Consider the following 24,977-nt stretch of genomic DNA (forward strand, 5'->3'; position numbering starts at 1 on the left):
ACAGCCTAGCGACAGAGCTAGTGCTTGTAACCACTATGTCATGCATGACAGTTGGTAGTCAAGTACTACCTGCCAGGATACAGTGGTGAGCAAACAGGCATGTCCTTTCTGAAGGTTTTACAAATAAAAATTACATCATAACCCTGGGGGTGAGGGAAAGAATCCAGGTAGCTAAGGAAAGTAGAAACGAGAATGGACACAGAGGGCTTGTCAAAAAGGTTCAGTACACAAGTTAGAAGGAATTGTAAGAATTAAAGATGGTTTGTGGGAAACAGGTCACTGCAAGTTGGAATTTAGTGAAAATGTAAGTCCACTTTGGCATATACTTTTATGAGAGGGATATTATACCACTTTGGATTAACGGGACTGATTGTATGGGATACAGGTAAAATTTCATTATGCTAAGACTAACCAATTACGTTTGTTTTCTATTGCTGTGCTATATGATTCTAGAAAATTCTTTGAAATTAAAAACTAAGCATGCTCTCTGACCCCTGCCTCTAAGAAAACTTTGAACCTTAAGCTACTAAAGCTGGAAAAGCTACAGTTGTTCTCTTCTGCATTTATTTGAATTATTCATTAATTCACTCATCCCTAACTCAAATATTCCAATATTCCATCTCATTTGCAGGGATGACACCCAAACATTTAGTGGCTGTCTTTGTGTGTGGGGTTACGGGGGGAACGGCTTTTTTTTTTTTTTTTTTTTTGAGATGGAGTTTTGCTCTGTTGCCCAGGCTATGGGCAATGTCGGCTCACTGCAACCTCCACCTCCCGGGTTCAAGCAGTTCTCTGTCTCAGCCTCCAGAGTAGCTGGGATTACAGGCACCCACCACCACGCCCAGCTAATTTTTGTATTTTTAGTAGAGACAGGGTTTCACTATCTTGGTCAGGCTGGTCTTGAACTCCTGACCTCGTGATCCACCCACCTCAGCTTCCCAAAGTGCTGGGATTACAGGTGTGAGCCACCACGCACAGCCACCTTACTTTTCATTTGGTACCTTTGGATAATGGTTGAAGTTTTAATTGTGTATTTTTTTAATTTTTAGAAAAATTAATTTGAATTCACCAACCATCCACTTAAAACCCAAACACAGTATATTCCAAAATATCTGAACCTCTAATTTATGTATGTTACATCAATCCTTTCCTTTACATCTTTCAAAGTGTGATCCAAGAACCACCTGCATTAAAATCACCTGGAATATTTGTTTATAATGTGTGTCCATGGGTCCCAATTCCAAAGATTGTGTTTCAGAGGGCCTGCAATAGAAGCTAGGACTCTATTTGTTTCCTTGATTCTTAGGGGCAGTAAAGTTTGTCAGTCACATAGTTTTCCTTTTTCGCTAGTTAATGAGTTATGTGTTGGCTGAATGAATTTCAACTAACCAGCCTTAAGACTTCCAGCAGTGCAGAGCCTTGGAAAAAACTCTAGTAACATGACATTTTGGCTGCTCTGTGGACAATGATCTTACTCAATTTTTCCTTCAACATTTAGAAAATACTGGATCTGAGTGGAAGAGGGTTATTTCAAGCCTAAACCTGTAGTTGGGCCCCAAAGAGAACTATCTTTCATGTAAATGACAAAGAAAGGCCAGGGACAGAAAATTTCTAAGGATTTGGGAGGAGCTAGGAGGATCTAGAGGATCTTGTACATTAACAGAACAACAACTTCTTTAGCTTTTAAGGGCCAAGTAAATGCCCAAAGGATAGGTCAAAATGATAGATCTGTGGAGATGAGGGCACAGGAAAAAAAAAATGATACCAGAGTGAGAAAGACTTTTTAAAAAATCAACTCTTATGACTATATGACAAGAACTACAGCTGCAATAAGTCAATTATACCATTTATTGATGGAATTATACTGGAAAACAATCACTGAAAAAAGAGTAGCCTTTTGAATAGAATAGTCTACCAAGTGAACCATTTACTTGAAACACAACATGCAAAAGATTGTGAAATATGTCAGTATAGAAGCCTGTGGGTTTATATATAGACATCTCAGCAGTGCTTTTCACAAGTTCTACTCCATATCACATCAAGCAACTGTTTGGTGATTTTGGGGGACTGTTAATAGTACCTGTGTCTTGGAATAATTAACCATATCTTAGTTGGGCTTCTTAGAGTAGATGTGTTCACATTGAGATGTATGAAAGAAAAGAGTTATTTTTGTTCAATGGGTGAGCAGCACTTATCCTTAGCAATAAGGGAAGGCGACAAACAGTTTAGCTTCTGAATAGAGAATGGTCTATTCAACACTATATTTTGTCGGTAAAGTTTCTTTTTGGTCCCAAAGTTTCTCTTCGGTGCCTTAATTTCTTCCTTCTGATTTTCGGGAAAAGTCAGAGGTATAGGTGAAACTGGCATTGGAGACCTCCATGGCAGACATCTTGTGGAGACCATTTTAACCATTGATTGATTTGTATGGCCAATAGTAGGTTTGAATGAGAGTTCTTGGCATGGACTTAAAATAGAACTTTTGGGATTCTTATCATAAGTTTCAATCAATTGTTTTGGGGTGGAAGAACTTTTTAGAGACAGTGGTCTAGAATTCCATCTATATTTGCCAGCATTGCTCCAATTCCGTTTTAAAGCATTTTGTTCAAGCTTACAAGAACCAGAGTTGTTTTTACTTTTTTCTTGACTTTTATCTACACAAGGTATCTGAAGACTCAAAGAGTCGCAAAGTTTTGGCTGTCTCACTTTTGGTGTAGCTTTGGAGGAAGAGGGTCGTTCAGTAACTGCTGGAGTACAGAAAGTCGTTTGTAGTCTTGGCCTCTCTTTTTGAATAGTCATATGTTGTAATCGTTCTAGTTCCAGTAAACGAGTTATCAAGTGTTCAACAGAGGTTTCTGCAGGGTCCACTGTCACTTTCCAATTGTCAGATTTGGAGAGGGCTAAATTGTGCAAGTCTAGAGCACTGAAAGGAGGAGGGAGAAAATCAGGATATGGAAATACTTCATTTGGCTCCTCGGTGAAAGGTTCCTCAACATTTTTTATTGTTTCTGGCTTCAAGTTCAGGTCCACCTTTTTAAAATAGCTGAGTAAAGTATCATTTGTCTTCTCATTTTCTGATAAATCACTTTCATCTGTGAAATTTTCTTCCACACTGCTGTTTCCATGTTTCAAATTCCAATTTGGAGCAGGTAATGTTTCACCATCATTGTTTTCTATAGTTGAACATGAACTAACATGAATCTCATTTCTGTTCTTAAAAAAGTCTCCATCAGCATAGGGCCAGCAGAGACCTAATGGCATTGGCAGTCCAGGGTAAGGACCAACTTGCTTATCAACTGAAGCAATTGTTAATGGGTGGTTCAGAGTGAAGACCCTTATAGGATGATTGATTACATTAAAGCCAGTTTCCACTGAAGATTTTTTGAATTCCCTTTAAAAAATAATTTAATTAATGAATGGTTTATTGACTAGAATTAAAATGCTATTAAAATGATACAGTTAAGTACCCTTTATCAAAGATTGGTTAATGTTTAGTTCCCAATGGCATATGTGTATCTAGCTACCTGCAACAGAAATATGTTAGTTTCCAAAAATGCTCTAATATACAACTACATAAATTTTAAAAATATAGATTAAAATATTAACTGGGCATCCCTTTGTGCAAGCACAGGTGACTAGATTATGACACCTAAAACGGCTAACTGTAGCTGTGAATAGACAAAGGTTAAAAGTGGCTAACTATATGTTTGTCTATAGTGTACATGCAATTATTATGTTTGAAAATGAGGATATCTAACTCAAACTGAAATTAAAGTGAAATGTTTATTGATCCAGAATTAGATAAAAGGAAACTCAAAAAATGTAATTAGGTTACTTTAAAAAGCCTTCTATGTTAGCCACTGTGGTTTTTAAAAATTACTGTAACAAAAAAGGAAGCAAACAATACCTATTAAAAATTATCCCAGATATAGTCCCTAGTAATTTTCATATAATGATGCTCTTCTATTTTAGGAGTAATTCTAGGTATTATGTTAAAATGAAAACTACAAAAAAGCCATAGAATACTGAGTTTCTAGTTAGTTTTTGTTTTTTAAAGATAACTAGAAATACTGAGATTAAAAGATTTGATGCATTAGTTGACATATAGTCTTGATATCCTCTTGTTTCTTTTTAAGCCAGTTGACATTAAAGATAACAAAGTAATCTGGAAAAGTTTTGAAAAATACTTTCGAGGCCAGGCACAGTGGCTCACACCTGTAATCCCAACACTTTGGGAGGCCAAGGCAGGCGGGTTGCTTGTGCCTGGGATTCTGAGACCAGCCTGAGCAACATGGCAAAATTCTTGTCTACAAAAAATTAGCTGGGCATGGAGGCATGCACCTGTAGTCCCTGCTCCTCTGGAGGCTGAGTTGGGAAGACTGCTTCAGCCTCAGAGGTTGAGGCTGCAGTAAGCCATGACTGCACCACTACACCCCAGCCTGGGTGACAGAATGAGGCCCTGTTGCAAAAAAAAAAAGAGAAAAAGAAAAAGAAAAAAATACTAATTTAGCTAAATACTAGGCATACTGCTTTGCCTTTGAAAAACCACAGGAAAATCACTTTAAATCTACAACTGTTAATAGACACGTACATGTAGTATGAAGAGTGTGAAATCTGGAAAGGGAGGGCCTAGGTTTGAACCCCTTTGCTACCAGTGAGTGAGCAAAATGGAAATGATAATACCTACCTTGGAGGTAGTCTGAGAAGCAAGAGAATTTATATGAATATGCTTTGCAAAATGTTAAACACTAAGTTATCGTTACTTTTATTCTTTTTATTTGTTGATGGTATATTGAGGAGAAAAATCTTTCATTGATACCAAACTTCCATCTCTGCAACATTATTAAACCTACCCAATATTAATAGCAAATGCCTGCCAAACACATTGTTCTGTTTAGTCCTCACAGCCTCATGAGATAGGCACTTTTATTTTCCACCTTTTGCAGATAAGGGAACGGGGGTGTAGAGTGGCTGAGGGCACACATCTAGGAAGTGGGAGAGCTGGAACTGCACGTGGTGGACTCCTATGCCCCAGGTCCTAACCGCTGCATTCTACCGCCTCCATTTGTTTGCTCCTCTGCTACTGTCATAAAATTCAGTTCACTTCATTTGACCACTTACCTTGAAATACTTTTTCCCAGCTGAGGTTTTTTCTCATAAAAATAGCCTTTCTTATCCCCATCAGCACCAATATTCCTTTAGGTCATCAGTCACCACAACTGCCATAGAACTTGATTTCCCCCTTGAATTTTAACATAAAGTGAACTGTATCCCAGGCCTCACAGAAGTAAAATTCTCTGACTAGGAGATGGCTGATAACAAGTGAACCACTCTCCTGCTAAATAAACTACACAAAAGAGCCATGGAACTCAGGATCCATGAGCTAAGACACTATGTAAAAGCTCCACAAAGCAGCCCTCAAAAAGCATTCATTTCCAAATACTAGTAACCTGTGTTTCCAAGAAGCCTTCTAGCTAGTCTTAATGCACGATAAAGTTTAAGAATCAAAAAAATAAGAATTAACATTCAGGGGCCGGGCACGGTGGCTCACGCCCGTAATCCCAGCACTTTGGGAGGACGAGGTGGGTGAATCACAAGGTCAGGAGTTCAAGACCAGCCTGGCCAAGATGGTAAAACCCCATCTCTACTAAAAATACAAAAATTAGCCAGGCATGGTGGCGGGCACCTGTAATCCTAGCTACTCAGGCAGCTGAGGCAGAGAATTGCTTGAACCTGGGAGGCAGAGGTTGCAGTGAGCTGAGATCGTGCCATTGCACTCCAGCATGGGCAACAAGAGTGAAACTTTGTCACACACACACAAAAAAAGAATTAAAACTCAGGTAAGGTTGGGTGCAGCAAACCACCATGGCACGTGTATACCTATGTAACAAACCTGCAAGTTCTGCACATGTATTCCCAGAACTTAAAAAAGTATTTAAAAAAAAAAAAGCGGCCTGGCATGGTGGCTCACACCTGTAATCCCAGAACTTTGGGAGGCCGAGGTGGGTGGATCACCTGAGGTCGGGAGTTTGAGACCAGCGTGACCAACATGGAGAAACCCCGTCTCTACTAAAAATACAAAATTAGCTGGGCGTGGTGGCCCATGCCTGTAAACCCAGTTACTCCAGAGGCTGAGGCAGGAGAATTGCTTCAACCCAGGAGGCAGAGGTTGTGATGAGCTGAGATTGCATCTTTGCACTCCAGCCTGGGCAACAAGAGCAAAACTCCGTCTCAAAAAAAAAAAAACCTCAGGTAAGGTCTGAGAGGCTACTTTCATATCCTGGCTCTCCCTTTCATTAATATTGTGTGACTTTGAGCAAGTTACTTAACTTGTCACCATGCCTCAGTGTCCTCATCTGCAAAACAGGGATGATAACTACCTTCCTTACATGGTCGGTTGTGATTTAAATGAATTACTACATATAAGGAATTAACATAGTCCCTGGAATGCAATACTACTTTCCTATTACAGTTCCTTTTGCTTTCAACAGGAAGTCCATACTTTATCCATCTAAAACCTTCATTGTCAGAACATGGTCAGCTCTTGACTCCTACCTATTCTAATTGTCTCGTGGTATCTGCAGCCACTTCCTGCTTTAGGGTGGACTTCTACAATTGCCCACTATTCCCACAGAATACTATTTTCTTCTGGTTGTTCATGGTCCTTGTATTTCAAATAGTTATCTCATGTGTATCTAAATTTATTTCAGTAATTTAGGGTGTTACAAAATAACTACTCGCTTACCTCTTCTCTATGGTACTTCCTTCATTAAGAGGACAATTCCATAATTGAAAGATCCCTTGTTTACTATTCTGATGACAGAAAAATAATGGGTAATAGTTTAGTAGCTGCATATATTTTTAAAATATAATATTTTAAGGGTATGAAGAATAAAATCCCACCTGTGTACTTTTTTGACTATGCACCGACAAATTAGGTTCTAGCATCAGTTGCTCCACTGGAATTTCCAAATAGTTCTATAAGGCAGCAGAAGACTTTTAAACATAATATATCTCTGTTCCCTATTCTTGTTCTAACAATGTATAGTTCTTGTTCTAATCAAGGAATGTATGGTAAAACTGAATGACACTTTGTTTATATACAAAGAAATCATTTGTTTTTACTGATTTCAGCAGAAATTAGTAAAACCTATTTATTATAAATACCAACTAAACTGTTAACTAATAAGACTTGAATATCATTAAGATTGTCTTTATTTTGCAGTGAAATGTTTTATGTTTTGATCAAAAAGGATAAACAAAAAGATTAATTTTCCACTACTTCAGAACAAGATATTGGTCATTTCAACTGCTTCAAGACATTTTGTTGTTGTTGAGACAGGGTCTCGTTCTGTTGCCCAGGCTGGAGTACGGGGGCACGAACTCGGCTCACTGAAACCTCTGTTTCCCGGGCTCAAGCGATTCTCCTGCTGAGCTCAGCCTCTCGAGTAGCTGGGACTACAGCTATGTGCCACCATGCCTGGCTAATTTTTTTGTATTTTTGTAGAGATGGGGTTTCACCATATTGCACAGGCTGGTCTCAAACTCCTGACCTCAAGTGATCCACTTGCCTCAGCCTCCTAAAGTGCTGGGATTACAGGCATGAGCCACTGCACCCGGCCTGCTTCAAGACATTTTAAAGGACAGGACTACTTCCCTTTCGGCAATGACTAAAAAATACTATACTCAATTTTCATTTATATTATTGTTATACTGAAAAATACTTAATATAACAAAATATTCATTTAATAACCAACTTGAAACTCTAAAATATTTGACTTTGACTTGTGTGAAGAACTCTACAGAAATGAAATTTAAAGTTTAACTTTCAGGAAGAAAATTTTTTTAAAGAACATACTTATTTTAAAATCGTATGTTTTATGAATACCTTAAAACCAAACATTCATCCTTACCTTGTTAATTTTGCCTGAAATGTGTATAAAAAATGACAATTAATAGTTACATAAAACTGATTATATTCAAAACAAACCCCCTTTTAATATGAGTGATTCTTTCAGTATAAGTATACACATCTAGGATTTCTTACCACCTGCTGCTCCATCCCTTCCAGCTGGGAGGTTTTTATTTTCAGAAACAGGTACTTCTGAATCCAAATTCCAGTGAGATAAGTTCTAAAACAATATTTGTTTTAGGATAAACTTAACATTAAGAAAACATAAAAAGCTCAATAATTTCACATGTTCTTGGGGTAAAGTATGACGAAAGGCACAAAGCTTCATGACTCTCACCCCTCATTATAAAGAACTTATCAGCATCTTTGAGGAGAAAGCAATTTTCTCTTAACCAAGCCCTTATCAGTTTGATAATGCCTATTGTTGAGGAATCAGGCTTTTACAATAATTTGTGGTTTCGTTCACATTTTGTTAAATATAATAACACAGGTTTTCAAAATTGATTTTTAAAATGTAATAAAATGTCCTGTTCAGTGTGCCTCTGGAACACAATGGTGCATTCATCAAACTTTCTATATCTGAGTATCAGATCTAAAAGTCTATAAAAAGCCAGGTGTGGTGGCTCATGCCTGTACTCCCAGCACTTTGGGAGGCCGGGGCAGGTCAGGATCACCTGAGGTCTGGAGTTTGAGACCAGCCTGGCCAACATGGTGAAACCCTGTCTCCAATAAAAACACAAAAATCAGCCAGGTGTGGCGGCACGCACCTGTAATCCCAGCTGTTCGGGAGGCTGAGGCAGGAGAATCGCTTGAACCCAGGAGGTGGAGGTTGCAGTGAGCTGCAATCACACCACTGCACTCCAGCCTGGGCCACAGAGTGAGACTCTGTCTCAAAATACATACATAAATAAATAAAATTAAAAAAATAAAAGCCTGTAAAAATCTTTCCATCAACCACAGGAAGTCTCTAACCCTCATATTATATTCAACACTAACCAGCCCACTACTCATTCTGGCTTCCAGATGTGGAGGAACACTTAGGAAATATTCAAAAGAAAGCCAAAAATAAAACGGGAAAGGTGCTAATAACAACTGAGTATTTATGTTCCAGACATTGTGCAGAGTGCTATGGGGGAAAATGTGGGAGGTGTGTAGAAGATTATAACAATTTATTCTGGAAAACAGAAAGTGAAGAGGTGATTCGTTTATAAGAAAGTAACTTTTTAGGAATGAACCCAATTGTTTTCTGTCTCAAAAAAGCATTGTAAATTAAACTCTAAGCAAATGAAATGTGAGGTATTATTAGATACAATCTCTTCACTAAGGAGGAACAGAGAGAAATAAGCTTCAATACAGCATGAGGATTAATTTATCCACAAAGAGATATCTCCTGATAGGAAGGGTAGTTGAACATTGGAAGGGAGACTGCAGATTATCATTCTCTATAGATTTATGAAAAATATAATTAATAAAATTAATTCTCTGCTCTCTGGCATGATATGTACAAGGGCTAATCTCTACATGAGAATCACCTGGGGAGCTTTTTAAAAATAATAGTTGCAAAAAAATGCTGCAAATCCTGATTTTAAAGAATGAGGGTGAGGGCCGGGCGCAGTGGCTCAAGTGGCAGTAATCCCAGCATTTTGGGAGGCCGAGGCGGGCAGATCACCTCAAGTCAGGAGCTCTAGACCAGCCTGGCCAACATGTCGAAACCCCATTTCTACTAAAAATACAAAAATTAGCTGGGCGTGGTGGTGGGTGCCTGTAATCCCAGCTACTTGGGAGGCTGAGGCAGGAGAATCACTTGAATCCGAGACGCAGAAGTTGCAGTGAGCCACGATAGCACCACTGCACTCCACCCTGGGTGACAGAGTGAGACTCCGTCTCAAAAAAAAAGAAAAAAAAAAAAAAGAATGAGGGTGAGGCCCAGTTATTTGTATTTTAAAGATCCTTTTGTAGTTCACAGCACGATGACTGGGTTTTTATGTTCATGTGTGAGATGCACCCCTTCAGACTTTTTTACGATGTCTGGTGGATTTTTAAGCTTTTTTCAGCTATATAATCCTGATACTTTTGTATGAAATGCACGTGAGAGAAATATCCTCAGCTGATGAAACTGTGTTGTTGCAATTCTAAAATAAAATTAATGAAACCAGGCCAGGCATGGTAGCTCACACCTGTAATCCCAGCACTTTGGAAAGCCAAGGCGGGTGGATCACTTGAGGTCAGGAGTTCAAGACCAGCCTGGCCAACATGTCGCTACTAAAAATACAAAAATTAGCCGGGCGTGGTGGCACATGCCTGTAGTCCCAGCTACTCGGGAGGCTGAGGCAGGAGAATCGCTTGAACCCGGGAGGTGGGGGTTATAGTGAGTTGAGATCGTGCCACAGCACTCCAGCCTGGGAGACAGAGGAAGACTAAGTCTCGTCTCCAAAACAAACAAACAAAAAACACCAAAACAACAAAAAATTAACATAACCAAATTGATCAACTGGTAAAGAATGCTCATTAACTAAACATGAAGTCTGACAGTTTGCAAATTTCTTAAGAGTTGGGACTTGATTATGCTTTGTGATATCCCACCTGCCTTACCAATATTTTTCACAAAGGGTGTGTGTGTGAAAACAAAAGAAGTGAGCACTGCCTGGTTGATAACAAGGCAGCACCTTTAACAAAGCCAAATTGCAATTAGAAATGTTTGACATTTGGAGAAGAGCTGGCTAATTTTCCCTTTGTTAAAAGAAATAGAAAATTTCCATTTGCTGTTCCAAATGTGCCAAAAGGAAAACACAGGATAAACTGCCCACGATGCAAACGCAGCAAGGGCATCACTACAAGAAAACTCCATGGGAGTTACGTGTTAGCAACAGGAGCCGCTGCCCAAACACTCAAGTTCAACAGCGCCTGCCATACCTCCTGAGAGATGTTTGACACACGTAGGCTGTTAGCACAGTTCTCATTTCTTCTCCCCATTTTGTTGTAGCTGTTGCTCTGTTTCCTTAAAATCCTACACAGATTGCGGGATAGGCACATTTATGGGTAAGGGTCAACATTTATAAAAAAGAAAGTGTGAGTTTTGATTTCCCATCTAAAGGAGGTAAGAGAATGCTTAGAAAGCAGAAGAGAGGGGCTAGGAGAGCAGGGTGGGGGTGACAGTACGAAACCAACCAGAAGCAAGGGGCAAGCCTGACTCAAAAGGAGCACAGACAACAGCAAACTGGCAGATCTCAGAACAGAAGATTAGGAAATTGAGATCAGAGGTGAGAAAGCAAATATCAGCTAAGAAGATGAAATACACATTGGAACAAACTATGGTGAATTATCTGGAACTTAGAAAACAGGGGCACAAAGTCTCCTTTTATTCATTCAAAACAATTGCTCCATTTGAAAGCAGGGTTGAACCCTTACAACTAGGCCAGGCAAGCACCCCGTGCATATTTCGGAGACAACAAAATGCCCCCAGGACCAAACAATATTTTCCGCACCAATCAATCAAGGTACCTAAAGGGTTTTAACCCACTGCCGTTTAAGGTAAAAGAATTAGAGAACTCTAAGGTAACAAGCAAAACAGTCACTGGATTAAGGTATGGCTATCTGGAAAGAATCACTTTTTTTTTTTTTTTTTTTTTTGAGACAGAGTCTCGCTCTGTTGCCCAGACTGGAGTGCAGTGGCGCGATCTCGGTTCACTGCAACCTCCGCCTCCCGGGTTCAAGCGATTCTCCTGCCTCAGCCTCCCGAGCAGCTGGGATTACAGGCGAGCACCACTACGCCCAGCTAATTTTTATATTTTTAGTAGAGATGGGGTTTCACCATGTTGGCCAGGCTGGTCTTGAACTCCTGACCTCGTGATCCACCTGCCTCAGTCTCCCAAAGTGCTGGGATTACAGGCGTGATCCACTGCACCCGGCCAAGAATCACAAATTAAAGCCACCGCAGTAATCGGTCTATCTGCTAATCGTTTACAATTGATTGTCTCCTACAGAAAAGTGTATGAAGAAATAGGAGATTTAGTTTAGGTAGGTTTTCAGCCAACACCGGTTATTGGTCCACGAGTGTGTGCATGCCAGACACTAGGTCTGAATGCAGGAGGAAGGCGGTTGCTGAGCAGGTGGCGCTGCCTGGGGCCACCGGGTGTGTGTCAAGAAGGAGGGCATCCAGCTCCTGGAAAAGGCCACCGCACCTGAAGGACGGCCCTGGGGACAAAGGACGCCTTGGGGACTGCGAGTTGGGGGACAGGAGCTTTAGGGGCCAGAGTGCTTGAAGGCGCGTGTCTCAAGGGAGCCGCAAGGCCCCCGTGAAGAGGAATCCCCTTTTCCTCCTGAGCTGTGGCCGGACTGGGTGGGGAGCCCAGTTCCAGGGGTAGCAGGAGGGGGCTGCGGGATTCCCCGGGGCCGGGGCTCTCAACCCACCGCGCGAAGGCCCACGTGTCCTCCCCGGCGTGCTCTCCCGGTGCGCCGCCCCGAGGCCCGAGCGCCTCCGCGTGCGTGGCTGACGGCTTGGAGGGCGCCCCCTCTGCCGCGGCCTTCCTGCAGCGGGGGGACAAAGAGGGCGGCGGGCGGCTGGCGGCCTTGAGCGCAGCCCGGTCGGCAGTGCAGGGCCTGCGAAGCCCGCGGGCCGGCGCAGGGGTGGGAGTCGGGCCCGGGGCCCAGAGAGACCTTCCGGGGCCGGGGCTGCGGCTCCGCGGGCTTCCCCACCGGCCGGGTCTCCCGGCAACTACCAGAGAGCGGGGGCGCCCGGGGAGGCCCGGCGTTCCACAAGGTCCACGCGTATTCGCGGGCCGCGGGGTCGCCGCCGGCCGCCCAGGCGCGGAGCCTCTCGGGGGTCACCCGGCCGCCGGGCCCGCGGGACGCACGGGGCCGCCAGGGGAGGACAACAAGCCTCAGGCCCTGTCCCTGCGCCCCGCCCGGCCTCCCCCGCGGGGCTGCGCAGCCCACTCGGCCATCCTGGCCTGAAGGGGCCGCCCCCGGCCTCGCGGGAAAGCCTGAGCCTCCCGGGCCTTCTCGGGCCTTCTCGGACTTTCCCCCAGGCGTCCTGGACCTTCTTCGGCCTTCCTGGGCCTCCTCGGGCTTCCTTGACCCTCCCCAGGCCTTCCCCGAGGCCTCCAGGCCCTTCCCTGGGCCTCTCCAGGCTGAGCTCTCCGCGACATGGCCAGTGGGCCTCTGGGACCCGGGGCCCGGCCCACCCGCCTCCACCCTCCATTCCCACCGCCTGCTCACATCAAGCCAGGAGCACCGCCCGGTACGTAGTCCTCCAGACTAAGCTACAATATATACGCATTGATACATGTGAAGTTATATCTATGCTTGTACAATATATTAACATAGAAGAAGAGGCATCCTTGTTGACACCAAGCTCATCCGGTCAGTTTCAGGTCCGTCGTCGGCCTTTCAATAGGAAAAACAAAAGATGATTTTTTTTCTTTTTTCATGTAGAGGATACATGTAAATCACACAGCCCAATTTTGTACCCCGAAATGCATATCTCCTATTACAGCTTCATGAAATAAGTGGAGGGGTGGGGGAAGAATCTCTCTCTATCTAGTTAGATATATCTGCATAGCTATCATCACCCCCACCTTTTGATATAGAGAAAAATTTAAAACAAAATTAATTATATATTTAGGTACAGCAAATGAATACTAAACATTTGGGGGGATGAGATCACGGCCATGTCCCTCTGAGAATCTCCCCATAAAAATGCACTTATATACCACATGTTGAAAACAATGTCAGGGGTTTCTCAGGTTCTTTGATCCCTGACTCCTGACTCTTTCCTCTGCATTTCCATTTTCTCCTCAGAAAGACCTTCCCTTTAAAGAAGCTCTTCCCACCTTCCACCTACCTTACTCTATTTCATGACACCCCGTTGTTATTTACTTCTTTGTACTCCTCATAATCTTGCTGTTTACTTGTTTGTTTTTGTATTGTCTGTCTCTCCCCAGTAGAATATCAAACTCCATGTGGGCCGGGGCCTTGTCTGTCTAGTTCATTTCTGTATCCCCAACCCTTTAAAACTGTGCTGGGCACATAGTAGAAGCACAGTGGTAGAAGCACAATCGATGTAAGTGAACGAACAAGATTTGTGCAGGCCTCATTCCTTGCAGCCTCCTTGGAGGTTTCCCTTCTAGGGCCCTCTCTTCCTTCGGCTGTTTTCCATACTGCTGCTCTAAAATACAGACCTGCTCAACTGCCTCCTAATGCCGGAAGGAGGAAACCCTAATTCTGCAGCCATCCCTTAGGTATCTGCTCATCACCTTCCCAGCGCCCACTACATGTCAAGCACATCGGACATTTTACAATTTTCCTAAACACTCTCCTCCAGGGCATACATCATTGTTACTCTTCCTGTAATAGTACCTCCTTTTTATCTCCTTTTCTTTTTTAACCTGCCTAAATTCTAGTCATTACACTTCTAACTCACAAGTCATTTTTCCTGATTGTTCAGGAAGTGTAATTACTAGAAAAAATACAAAAAAAAAAAAAGGAGAGAAAACAAAAGTTGCTGTCTCCTCCAAGATCCTTGCTTCGTTATAATGATTTAATTACAGCCCCTTACTCAGTTACATTGTAATTATTCATTTACAACGTCTCAATCACTTTCTTTTCAACACCTTGAAGGTGATATCTGCCCATATTCTATCTAACAGAGTGCCTGGCATGTACTGTAGTAGGTAAGGCACTCAATAAATGTTTCAATTGATTTAATTATTGCAAAAATAGTATTTTCTGAAATGTATGGTGTGGTGACTATATGCCAGGCATAGTGCTGAACATTTTATATGGATTAACCAATGTATATGCCTGATAATCCAATGAAGCAGGTACCACCAGTTATTCCTATTTTATTTCTTATTTTTAATTTTTATTTATTTATTTTTTTGAGACAGAGTCTTGCTCTGTCACCCAGGCTAGAGTGCAATCGTGTGATCTCGGCTCACTGCAACCTCTGCCTCCCAGGTTCAAGCAATTCTCCTGCCTCAGCCTCCCTAGTTCCCTAGTAGCTGGGATTACAGGCACCAGCCACCACGCCCGGCTAATTTTTTGTATTTTTAGTAGAGACGGGTTTTGCCATGTTGGCCAGGCTGGTCTCGAACTCCTGACTTCAGGTGATCTGCTGGCCTCAGCCTCCCAAAGTGCTGGAATTACAGGCATGAGTCTCTGAGCTCAGCCTAGTTATTCCTATTTTATAATTGAGTAACCTGAGCCTTAGATGTATTATATAACCTTTTCCACCTTACAATTACGAGAAAAATTGCGAATGGGAGTAAATATTGGGGTACATGTATTTCCAGCTAATGCTTTCTACAAATGTATATCTAGCTGGGAAATGTTCCCCGCTCTTGAGACAAATTATGTGTGCTTGTGTGTGCACATGCACACGTGTGTGTAAATTCCAAATATCTGGCTTACACATTTCCCCTCTTCCTTGCTTTGTGTTTCTGTTCATGCCTTTTTCTGTTATTTCAGAACTCAAACTGATTCCTGATCCCTTAGAGTCCTTGTGAGATTTGTCATCCATAAATACATCCTCTAAGATTCTTTTTTTTTCTTAACAGAACTTATTCTTAAAAATGTTCCTTTCATATTATCACCCCCACTCAACTGGTCTTCCTTTCTCTGGAGACTTTTGAATGCTTTGACATCAGCATCAAAATCATGGCTGGCCATTCCCTCATTGCTAAATGTGCACGGCTGTGGAGATGTGAAATATGAAAGCGACAACTTGGAAATTGTGCCCTCTCCAAACCCTTGGGTCTGGTCTGGCTCTGGCCCAGCGTAGGAGGTTGGACAGTGGGTCATTTTCTACAGCAGCTCAGACCCAGCTCAACATCAATCCCAAGGCCAAAGAAAATGCACCTTCCTTCTGTTGGGGCTCGGAAAACAGTACCCCAAAATGAAGGCTTCGGAAATAGCCTCAGAAACACGTTTTTCTCTGACCTTCTTCTGCCCTCCTGTCTCTCAGTCCCAGTCTCCCTCCGAGGCTAGCCTGAGAAACTAGAATCCCTCTTCTCCAATGCAGGTTACAGAAATCAGAATGCTTTTTTCCCAAAGCCAGCCATAAAACCTAAAAATATTACTCCAATTTTCCCTTTGCCTTTCTGTGTAAAAACTGGCCATAAAGAAATTATCTGACCCCCATTCCAGAGAGTGGCCCATACCCAGAAGGAAGGAATGCTGCTCAGAGAGGCCAAGAAGAATCTAGAGAGACAGGCCTTGCTGGGTTCCCCCACTCAGGCTGTTAGCGTTAGATCAGACCTTTTTTGTCCTATCGTATTTCTACACAGCTGTCCATACTTTGTTGAACCTAAGCATAAAAATGGAAACTCTCCCCTGTATTTCTGAGTTTTCATTCTGTACACTCCCATGTATAAACACATGCTAAATAAACGTGTATGCCTTTTCCCCAATTACTCTGCCTTTTGTACTTGAGTACTTCTCCTGTCTCAGCCTCCCAAGTTGCTGGGACTACAGGTGCAGGCCACCACGCCTGGCTAATTTTGATTTTTCAGCAAATCTTCAGAGGGCCAAACCCTTGGCCCCTACACCTCCAGCCATCTCATGGCCATGCCCAGGATTCAGATTTTAGTGGTAGCCTCAGCTTGCCTTACTTTAAATCTGCACCTCTTTAGCTGATCCTGAGTGAAACCATTGTTTCATAAACACAGTAGGATGAGGCAGATGCTCTCTATTTCAGGCATTTAGCAAGCTCTTACGTTAATTACAAGGGAGGCAGGCTAAGGAAACAAAGGCAAGCCTTGGGCCAGTCACTTAGTAGTCCAGTAAGCACAGCTTGCTGCCCACCTCAGTTTCTCCTCCTATAACAAAGGCGATGACACTGACTACCACGTAACTACTTTGGAAAGCACCTTGAGATAACATTCCTTTTCATTGTCCTGAATTATGCAAAGATATGTCAGTAGCAACATTACTTAGTTTCTAATTATTCTGGAGGGAAAAGCCTTCTATTTCAGTCTACCTCCTTCAGTATCTTTCACCTTTTGATATTACCCATGCATTTGTCCTCATCTTCCTTTGTTTTTCCCTTTAGAATTGCCAAGGTCATGGCTGGTCACGTACAGCAGAATCTTTTTGTTTCTTTCTTTTCTTTTCTTTTCTTTTTTTTTTTTGAGACAGAGTCCCACTCTGTTGCCCAGGGTGGAGTGCAATGGCACATTCTCAGCTCACTGCAACCTCTGTCTCCCAGGTTCAAGTACTTCTCCTGTCTCAGTCTCCCAAGTTGCTGGGACTACAGGCGCATGCCACCACGCCTGGCTAATTTTTTTGTATTTATAGTAGAGACGAGGTTTCACCATATTGGTCAGGCTGGTCTCAAACTCCTGACCTCAGGTGGTCCACCCGTGTCGGCCTCTCAGAGTGCTAGGATTACAGCTGTGAGCCACTGTGCCCCAGCCTACAGCAGAATCTTGTTCAATATAATTATGTAACATTTTCTGAAAGTTAGGACACTATTTTCTAAATAATAATATGCATTTTTGTTCTCAAATAAGATGCTAAGTCAGTGGGAAACATTTCATTTCAATTATGGGCAATCTGTATTTAGCATATGGTTTAGCGATCTGGTCTTATTTTTGTTTTTCCTTTTTGAGAACTGCTTTGTCTTTCAGTAGTGGCTAATTTATCCTGATTTAGAACTCTATTCTATGAGCATTCATCTTAAATATACTTTCTTGTGTTTGTATAATTCCTTTTTAAGAAATATATATGCAAATATTTCTAATTTGAAGTTTTAAAAATTAACCTTTAACACTCTGCTCCCATAGCAATGTCCTATTTGGGAGGCCATTGTTTTGTTGCAAATAGATAAGAAATATTGTTTAAAAACTATTCCTGGAACGTGTGATAGTGATGTATATTAACATATTTCCAAAAGGAAGCAAAATAAACACATCAATCACTGAATTTCACATCTGCGTATGTTGCAGCTAGTGCTTTTGAATACATTCTCAATCATATATTTTCTCCTTTATTTTGATTTAAGACTTGATTTCTGCAATTTGAATTGCTTCATAAGCCTTTCTGTTTTTCAGATGCCTATACTCTGTAACTCTATTTTCCTAGCCTTATATCACAAATTCACTTTAAATTTTGGTTAAAGTCTCAGTGTCAGAACTTACTTTCTGGTGCCAGGAAAGGTGTAACTTGAAGTCCCTTTCTGGTCGTCAGACCCCTCCCACCTCATTTGTTGTGAACAGAACACTTTCTTTAGAATGCTTTCCTTAAAAAACTTGGAGCTAATCTTCTCTCTGTGAACATTACTGAACACCTTGCCTTCTGGAAGCCAGCTGATCTTGTCACACCCACCATGGCGAGGGGGAAGAAGAAGGTATTCAGGAGACACAGCAACCCTCTTAGGAACAGAAAAAGGAATTGCATTTACCTAAAAGTCATGAATAAAAGATCAGCCTAACTAGAAAAACAACCCAGAGTCATGCAGCTGCTGCGCTGCGGGATCAATTTTAGTTAATAATACACTGCTGGCACCTACGTGGGCTGCTGCCCGGCATAGCAGCTCTCATCACAACAAGAAAAAACTTGCGAGAAAATAATATGTTAGAAGCCCAGTTTTGAAAAGGTAAATATATTATACACTGAATAATAGAATTGGAAATCAGAGGAATACAAAACAAAATACACAATGAAAGCATTTGTTCCATCCAAGAATATTAGCACCATGGGCTGAGACCTGGTTGGCTCAGATCAAGATCACACAGCTGGTTAGCAGCAGAATATTTGCCAGGCGTCATTCATGACGGGTCTTTCCCATCCTAAACAGTGTTCTTTAATTACACTATAATTAGAGAAAATGAATGAGATTGATTCCTAGAAGTGTTATTCATTGTAAAAAAAAATATATATATATATATAAAATATGTAAAAATATATATCCATCTGATAGTTTATTTAAAAACAAAATTTAATAATTGTGACCTACTTCAGATTTCAACCAAAGTCAGCATGCATCAGATAACTATAAACATTCATCAGTTGCTATTGAGAGCAATGACTAAGAACATATGAGTCAATTTACATGAAGTATAAAGAATTACATTTTAGTAGATCACTTCCTTGGCATGTTGAATGGCTTAAAACATGGTTTGTTCTTTACTATTTATATAAATGAAGGTTTAGAGGAATGCACTCAACTTTGCCTGGAAGAAAGAAGCTGGGGATATGTCTTCCGGCTGCCAGAATATTCTACCCCCTTCTCCCCACCAAAAACACCTGTAAAATTATGAGAATCACATTGAATTCAAGTGGTTCTTGTTAGTTATATAACATATTTTAAATATGTACTTGCATTTAAAGTATTTTTTTTTAAGTTTTACTTTTTGAGTTTGCAAGTTGAAAGTTAAGAAAAGGAATAGGCCAGACATAGTGGCTTGCGCTTGTAATCACAGCAGTCTGGGAGGCCGAGGCAAGAGGATTGCTTGAGGTCAGGAGTTTGAGACCAGCCAGGGTAACATAGCGAGACCCTGTCTCTACAAAAGAAAAATAACAAAAATTAGCTGGGCGTAGTGATGCACACCTATAGACTCAGCTACTTGTGATGCTGAGGTGGGAGGATTGCTTGAGCCCAGGAGGTCGAGGCTACAGTGAGCTGCACTGCAGCCTGGGCCACAGAGCAAAATTCTGTCTCAAAAAGAAAGAAAAAAGGAAGGAAGGGAAGGAAGGGAAAAAAGGAAAAAAGAGAAAAGAAAGAAAGCTAGGCGAGGTGGCTCACACCTGTAAACCCAGCACTTTGGGAGGCCGAGGTGGGTGGCTCACCTGAGGTCAGGAGTTCAAGACCAGCCTGACCAACATGGAGAAACTTTGTCTCTACTAAAAATACAAAATTAGCTGGGCATGGTGGCGCATGCCTGTACTCCCAGCTACTCAGGAGGCCAAGGCAGGAGAATCGCTTGAACTAGGGAGGCAGAGGTTGCAGTGAGCCGAGATCACGCCATTACACTCCTGCCTGGGCAACAAGAGCAAAACTCTGTCTCAAAAAAAAAAAAAAAAAAAAAAAAATCCATCTATCTATATATATGCATATATGAATGGAATTTTATATCTGCCACTCTGGCCACTAATGTATCATATGGTATAATCATGATGCTTTAATAGTCTTAGCCAAAGGTTTTTAAGGTTGGTGAAAAGCTAGCCCACGCTCCCAGATTTGCCATAGCATACTAGGCTCACACGCCTTCTCTGCTTCTCACCAGCCTGCAGTGTGGCTCTCTAGGTGGTTCATGAAGAGTAGAGCAATTATGGGGAACCTGGCTCCTGGTAGAGCATGCTGAAATCTAAAAGTAGCTGTAACAAACTCTATTATTTGCATTTTTGTTCCAAATCTGATACTAGTTCTTGGCAGCTTCTGTCTTGCTCTGGACTGTGCTATCAAGTGTGGTGATTTAAGATTATTTAATACTTCTATTGTTTTCTGCTTTTTGGTCTGCAATGAAGAATGGCTTCTTACCGGGAAGGCTCCGGTTGAGCATTTGTTTACTTTGTTTTCTTGGTATTAGTTTGGATAAGAACATAAGGAGTAACTAGTTTGGCTTCTTACCTGTGTTAATCTGGGCATTTCCTCAGTTTTGGACGATGAAGCTCTTTCCTCAGTTCTGCTGAGGACTGCACTGATGTAACCACTCTCTCTTGGGGCCTCGTAGGTCTGTGGAGCCTTAATTAGGTACATACTGGGAGCAAGGCTTCTACAAAGTACCAGATGGGAAAATACCACTGGATACGCGCGCCCCCGCTTTCCCCTCTTCCTTTTAGCAAAGCTCTCAGTTTTCCCCAGAAATGGTCCATGTCCAGACGCAAGACTGGAGTTTCTGCCACAAATCCCCAAATGACTTGGCAGGATATTTTCAATGGGCTGGTTTTCTCTGCTTTGAAAATGCAGGATGAACACGCAGGGTTCCGGACCAATACCTGGGCCATTGTGACTCTCAGAATGCCAGGCAATAAGAGATCAGAAAGCTGGTTCCACTTCATCTTGGAGATGGAGGAAAGCTTGCCAGAACAACTGCACACCCCATCCACTCCTCATGTTCTCAGTTTGTTCTTCTCTGTGATACAACCAGCATCACGAGAACAGCCAGCAGCAGCTCCAGCGTGATAAAATTTTCACTCCTTGACAAGTGTAAGAAGCCGGAAAACTGTGCCCAGCCAGAAGTTTTGTGTCGCCCCTTTGAGATGCTGTCTAACCTCCACGAGCTGCTTCCGAATCACCTGATGGAGACGCTTTATTCCCGCAAGAGTGAAGAGGACAAGAAAAAATGTATGTGGGCCGAGGGTGGGCATGAGTTCTTTTCAGCAAGCATATGCTTTATCTTGATACAAACTGCCTCTACTTTAAGACGCAAGGAAGAACTTTTACTCTTTATTTTACTTAGTGTATTTTTATTATTTTTTGAGACGAGGCTCTCGCTTTATCCCCCAGGCTGGAGTGCAGGAGTGCAATAATCGTGGCTCACCACAGCTTCAAACTCCTGGGCTCATGCGATCCTCCCACCTCGACCTCCCCAGTAGCTGGGACTACAGGTGCATTGCCACCACAATGTCTAATTTTTTAATTTTTTGTAGAGCTGCACCCCCCCCGCTCCCCACATCCCCATGTTGCCTGGGCTGGTCTCGAACTCCCAAGCTCAAGCCTTTGCCCGCCTTTGTCTCCAAAGTGCTGGAATTCGAGGTGGGATCCCCTGCACCCGGCCAGAACTTGCTCTGTACGTTGTAGGTGTGATCGGTCCTCTAGACACATGTCCCCATCCATGGGCTTATTCTGGAATTTACTCATGTGCTGATTATCCATTGCTTCTTCATGTTCTTTTGCATAAATAGTCTTTTGTGAGCCAAGTTAGGCGTGACCCTCTTCTTTTTTTTTTTTTTTTGAGATGAAGTCTGGCTCTGTCGCCCAGGCCGGAGTGCAGTGGTGCGATCTCAGCTCACTGCAAGCCCCGCCTCCCGGTTTCATGCCATTCTCCTGCCTCAGCCTCCCCAGTAGCTGGGACTACAGGCGCCCGCCACCACACCCGGCTAATTTGTTTGTATTTTTAGTAGAGATGGGGTTTCACTGTGTTAGCCAGGATGGTCTCGATCTCCTGACCTCATGATATGCCCGCCTCGGCCTCCCAAAGTGCGGGATTACAGGCGTGAGCCACCACACACGGCCAGGCCTGACTCTCTTCTTTAGGCAAAGCTTACCTGTGGGAATATGGAAAGGGTACTGAGAGGGAAATGCCGCTAAATTTACAATTTAAGCTTTATATTTGATTTTAAGATTAGTGAGAGAACTTCCAAGTGGAAAGTCAGGTTTTGAACTTTGTTCCTTTGCTCTGTTTCCTATGATTCCTTCCTCCTATGGCCATGATTGCACCAGGAAGAAGCTGGATATTTTCTTTCCTCCTGGCGATTATAAGCAACCTGTACTGTTTGCAGTATGGAGTGGCCTGACACTCCTGAAATTCTGTCAGGGTCAATGATAATAGGGCCGATTTGCAGCATTGGGTGGAGTCTGCCTCCTGAATTGTTCCTGCTTAAGTGGAGGAGAAAGATAGAGGCAGCCACCTGTGCTCATGAACTTAGAAAACAAAATAGCAGCCGCCACAGAGATTAAGATGCAATTCCGAAGCCAGGCGCGGTGGGCTCACGCCTGTAATCCCAGCACTTTGGGAGGCCAAGACGGGTGGATCACCTGAAGTCAGGAGTTCAAGACCAGCCTGACCAACATGGTGAAACCCCATGTTTACAAAAAGTAGCTGGGCATGATGGCGGGTGCCTGTAATTTCAGCTATTCAGGAGGTTGAGGCGGGAGAATCCTTTGAACCCAGGAGGTGGAGGTTGCACTGAGCCGAGATCGCACCACTGTACTCCAGCCTGGCAACAGAGTGAGACTCTGTCTCCAAAAAAAAAAAAAAAAAAAAGGGCAGACTGTCTCCTGGGGGTGTTTGTGTGGGTTCTTTGGCTATTTCCCAGGCTGACAGTTTTCACAGCCTCCTGCTGAGATTTCTTCTCTTCAGGTGCCTTAGTCTGTTTGGGCTGCTATAACAAAATACCATAGACTGAGGCCGGGCACAGTGGCTCGCGCCTGTAATCCCAGCACTTTGGGAGGCTGAAGCGGGTGGATCTGAGGTCAGGAGTTCGAGACCAGCCTGGCCAACATGGTGACACCCCATCTCTACTAAAAATACAAAAATCAGCCGGGCGTGGTGATGGGTGCCTGTAATCCCAGCTACTTGGGAGGCTGAGGCAGGAGAATCGCTTGAACCTCGGAAGTGGAGGTTGCAGTGAGCCAAGATTGTGCCATTACACTCCAGCCTGGGCGACAAGAGTGAGACTCCATCTCAAAAAAACAAAAACAACAAATACTATAGACTGGGTAGCTTATAAACAGAAAAATTTATTTCTCATAGTTCTGGAGGCTGGGAAGTTTAAAATCAAGGTAGATACCATGTCTGGAGAAAACTTTCTGGTTCATAGATGGCACCTTCTTGCTGTGTCCTCACATAGTGGAAGTGAGAGGTGACAGCATGCTGGTAGCCCTTGCAGCCCTCTCTCGCTCTGGGCGCTTCCTCGGCCTTGGCGCCCACTCTGGCCACGCTTGACGAGCCCTTCAGCCTGCCGCTGCACTGTGGGAGCCCCTTTCTGGGCTGGCCAAGGCTGGAGCTGCTTCCCTCAGCTTGCGGGAAGGTGTGGAGGGAGAGGCGCGGGTGGGAACCCGGGCTGCCCGCGGCGCTTGTGGGCCAGCGCCAGTTCCGGGTGGGCGTGGGCTCGGCAGGCCCTGCACTGGGAGCTGCAGGCCGGCCCCGCCGCCCCGGGCAGTGAGGAGCTTAGCACCTGGGCCAGCAGCTGCTGTGCTCGATTTCTCCCGGGGCCTTAGCTGCCTCCCTGCAGGGCAGGGCTCGGGACCTGCAGCCCGCCGTGCCTGAGCCTCCCCGTGGGCTCCTGTGCAGCCGGAGACTCTCCAACCATTGCTGCCCCCTGCTCCACGGCACCCAGTCCCATCGATCACCCAAGGGCTGAGGAGTGTGGGCACATGGCTTGGGACTGGCAGGCAGCGCCACCTGCGGCCCCGGTATGGGATCCACTGGGTGAAGCCAGCTGGGCTTCTGAGTCTGGTGGGGACTTGGAGAATATGTCTAGCTAAGTGATTGTAAATACACCAATCAGCACTCTGTATCTAGCTCAAGGTTTGTAAACACACCAATCAGCACCCTGTGTCTAGCTCAGGGTTTGTGAATGCACCAATCGGCACTCTGTGTCTAGTTAATCTGGTGGGGACTTGGAGAACCTTTATGTCTAGCTAAGGGATTGTGAATGCATCAATTGGCACTCTGTATCTAGCTCAAGGTTTGTAAATGCACCAATCAGCACTCTGTGTCTAGCTCAGGGTTTGTAAATACACCAGTTGACACTCTGTATCTAGTTAATCTAGTGGGGAGGTAGAGAACTTTTGTGTCTCGCTCAGGGATTGTAAATGCACCAATCAGCACCTTGTCAAAACGGACCAATCAGTTCTCTGTACAACAGACCAATTGGCTCTCTGTAAAATGGACCAATTAGCAGGATGTGGGTGGGGCCAGATAAGAGAATAAAAGCAGGCGGCCCGAGCCAGCTATGGCAACTTGCTGGGGTCCTTTTGCACGCTATGGAAGCTTTGTTCTTTCACTCTTTGCAGTAAATCTTGCTGCTGCTTGCTCTTTGGGTTTGCAGTCCCTTTATGAGCTGTAACACTGGCCGCGAGGGTCTGCTGCTGCATTCTTGAAGCCACTGAGGCCAGAAACCCACCAGAGGAACAAACAACTCTGGATATGCCACCTTAAGAGCTTAGAACACTCACCGTGAAGATCTACAGTTTCACTCCTGAGTCCGCGAGACCGTGAACCCCCCAGAAGGAAGAAAGTACGAACACATCCGAACATCAGAAGGCACAAACTCTGGACGCGCTGCCTTTAAGAACTGTAACACTGACTGTGAGAGTCTGCAGCTTCATTCTTGAAGTCAGTGAGACCAAGAACCCACCAATTTTGAACACAGGAAGGGGGGGTGGGGGGCATCTCTCTCA

The 24,977-nt window shown here is 43.5% G+C and overlaps 1 protein-coding gene and 2 pseudogenes across 16 annotated transcripts in view; 2 read left to right on the forward strand and 1 right to left on the reverse strand.

The window, feature by feature from the left end:
• Positions 1-1,834: 1,834 nt before the first annotated feature.
• On the reverse strand, positions 1,835-20,809 carry FAM217A (family with sequence similarity 217 member A). 12 transcript variants are annotated; one of them, NM_173563.3, is made up of 7 exons: positions 12,320-12,605; positions 10,823-10,916; positions 8,045-8,129; positions 7,911-7,924; positions 6,901-6,975; positions 6,743-6,810; positions 1,835-3,388 (listed from the first exon to the last, which is right to left on the reverse strand). In NM_173563.3, exons 2-7 carry the CDS (start codon positions 10,880-10,882, stop codon positions 2,164-2,166), a joined length of 1,527 nt encoding a protein of 508 aa, NP_775834.2. In that variant the 5' UTR covers positions 10,883-10,916; positions 12,320-12,605; the 3' UTR covers positions 1,835-2,163. The 12 variants fall into 12 exon arrangements, with proteins under 12 accessions (NP_775834.2, XP_047274341.1, XP_005249008.1 ...); XM_047418385.1 differs by lacking the exon at positions 10,823-10,916; XM_005248951.5 differs by lacking the exon at positions 7,911-7,924.
• On the forward strand, positions 9,857-9,947 carry LOC124901553 (uncharacterized; annotated as a pseudogene).
• TEX56P (testis expressed 56, pseudogene) overlaps positions 12,677-24,977 on the forward strand; it is a 51,557-nt pseudogene continuing 39,256 nt past the window's right edge. For 2 of the 4 annotated variants that reach the window (NR_104463.3, NR_172627.1), the window contains exons 1-2: positions 12,677-13,148; positions 20,817-21,194. The product of NR_104463.3 is annotated as a testis expressed 56, pseudogene, transcript variant 2 (transcript). The remainder of the gene's footprint in view (positions 13,149-20,816; positions 21,195-24,977) is intronic. The other 2 variants (NR_104464.3, NR_172628.1) reach the window with 1 other exon arrangement.

This window comes from Homo sapiens, chromosome 6, assembly GCF_000001405.40.
Source record: "Homo sapiens chromosome 6, GRCh38.p14 Primary Assembly".
NCBI lineage: Eukaryota > Metazoa > Chordata > Mammalia > Primates > Hominidae > Homo > Homo sapiens.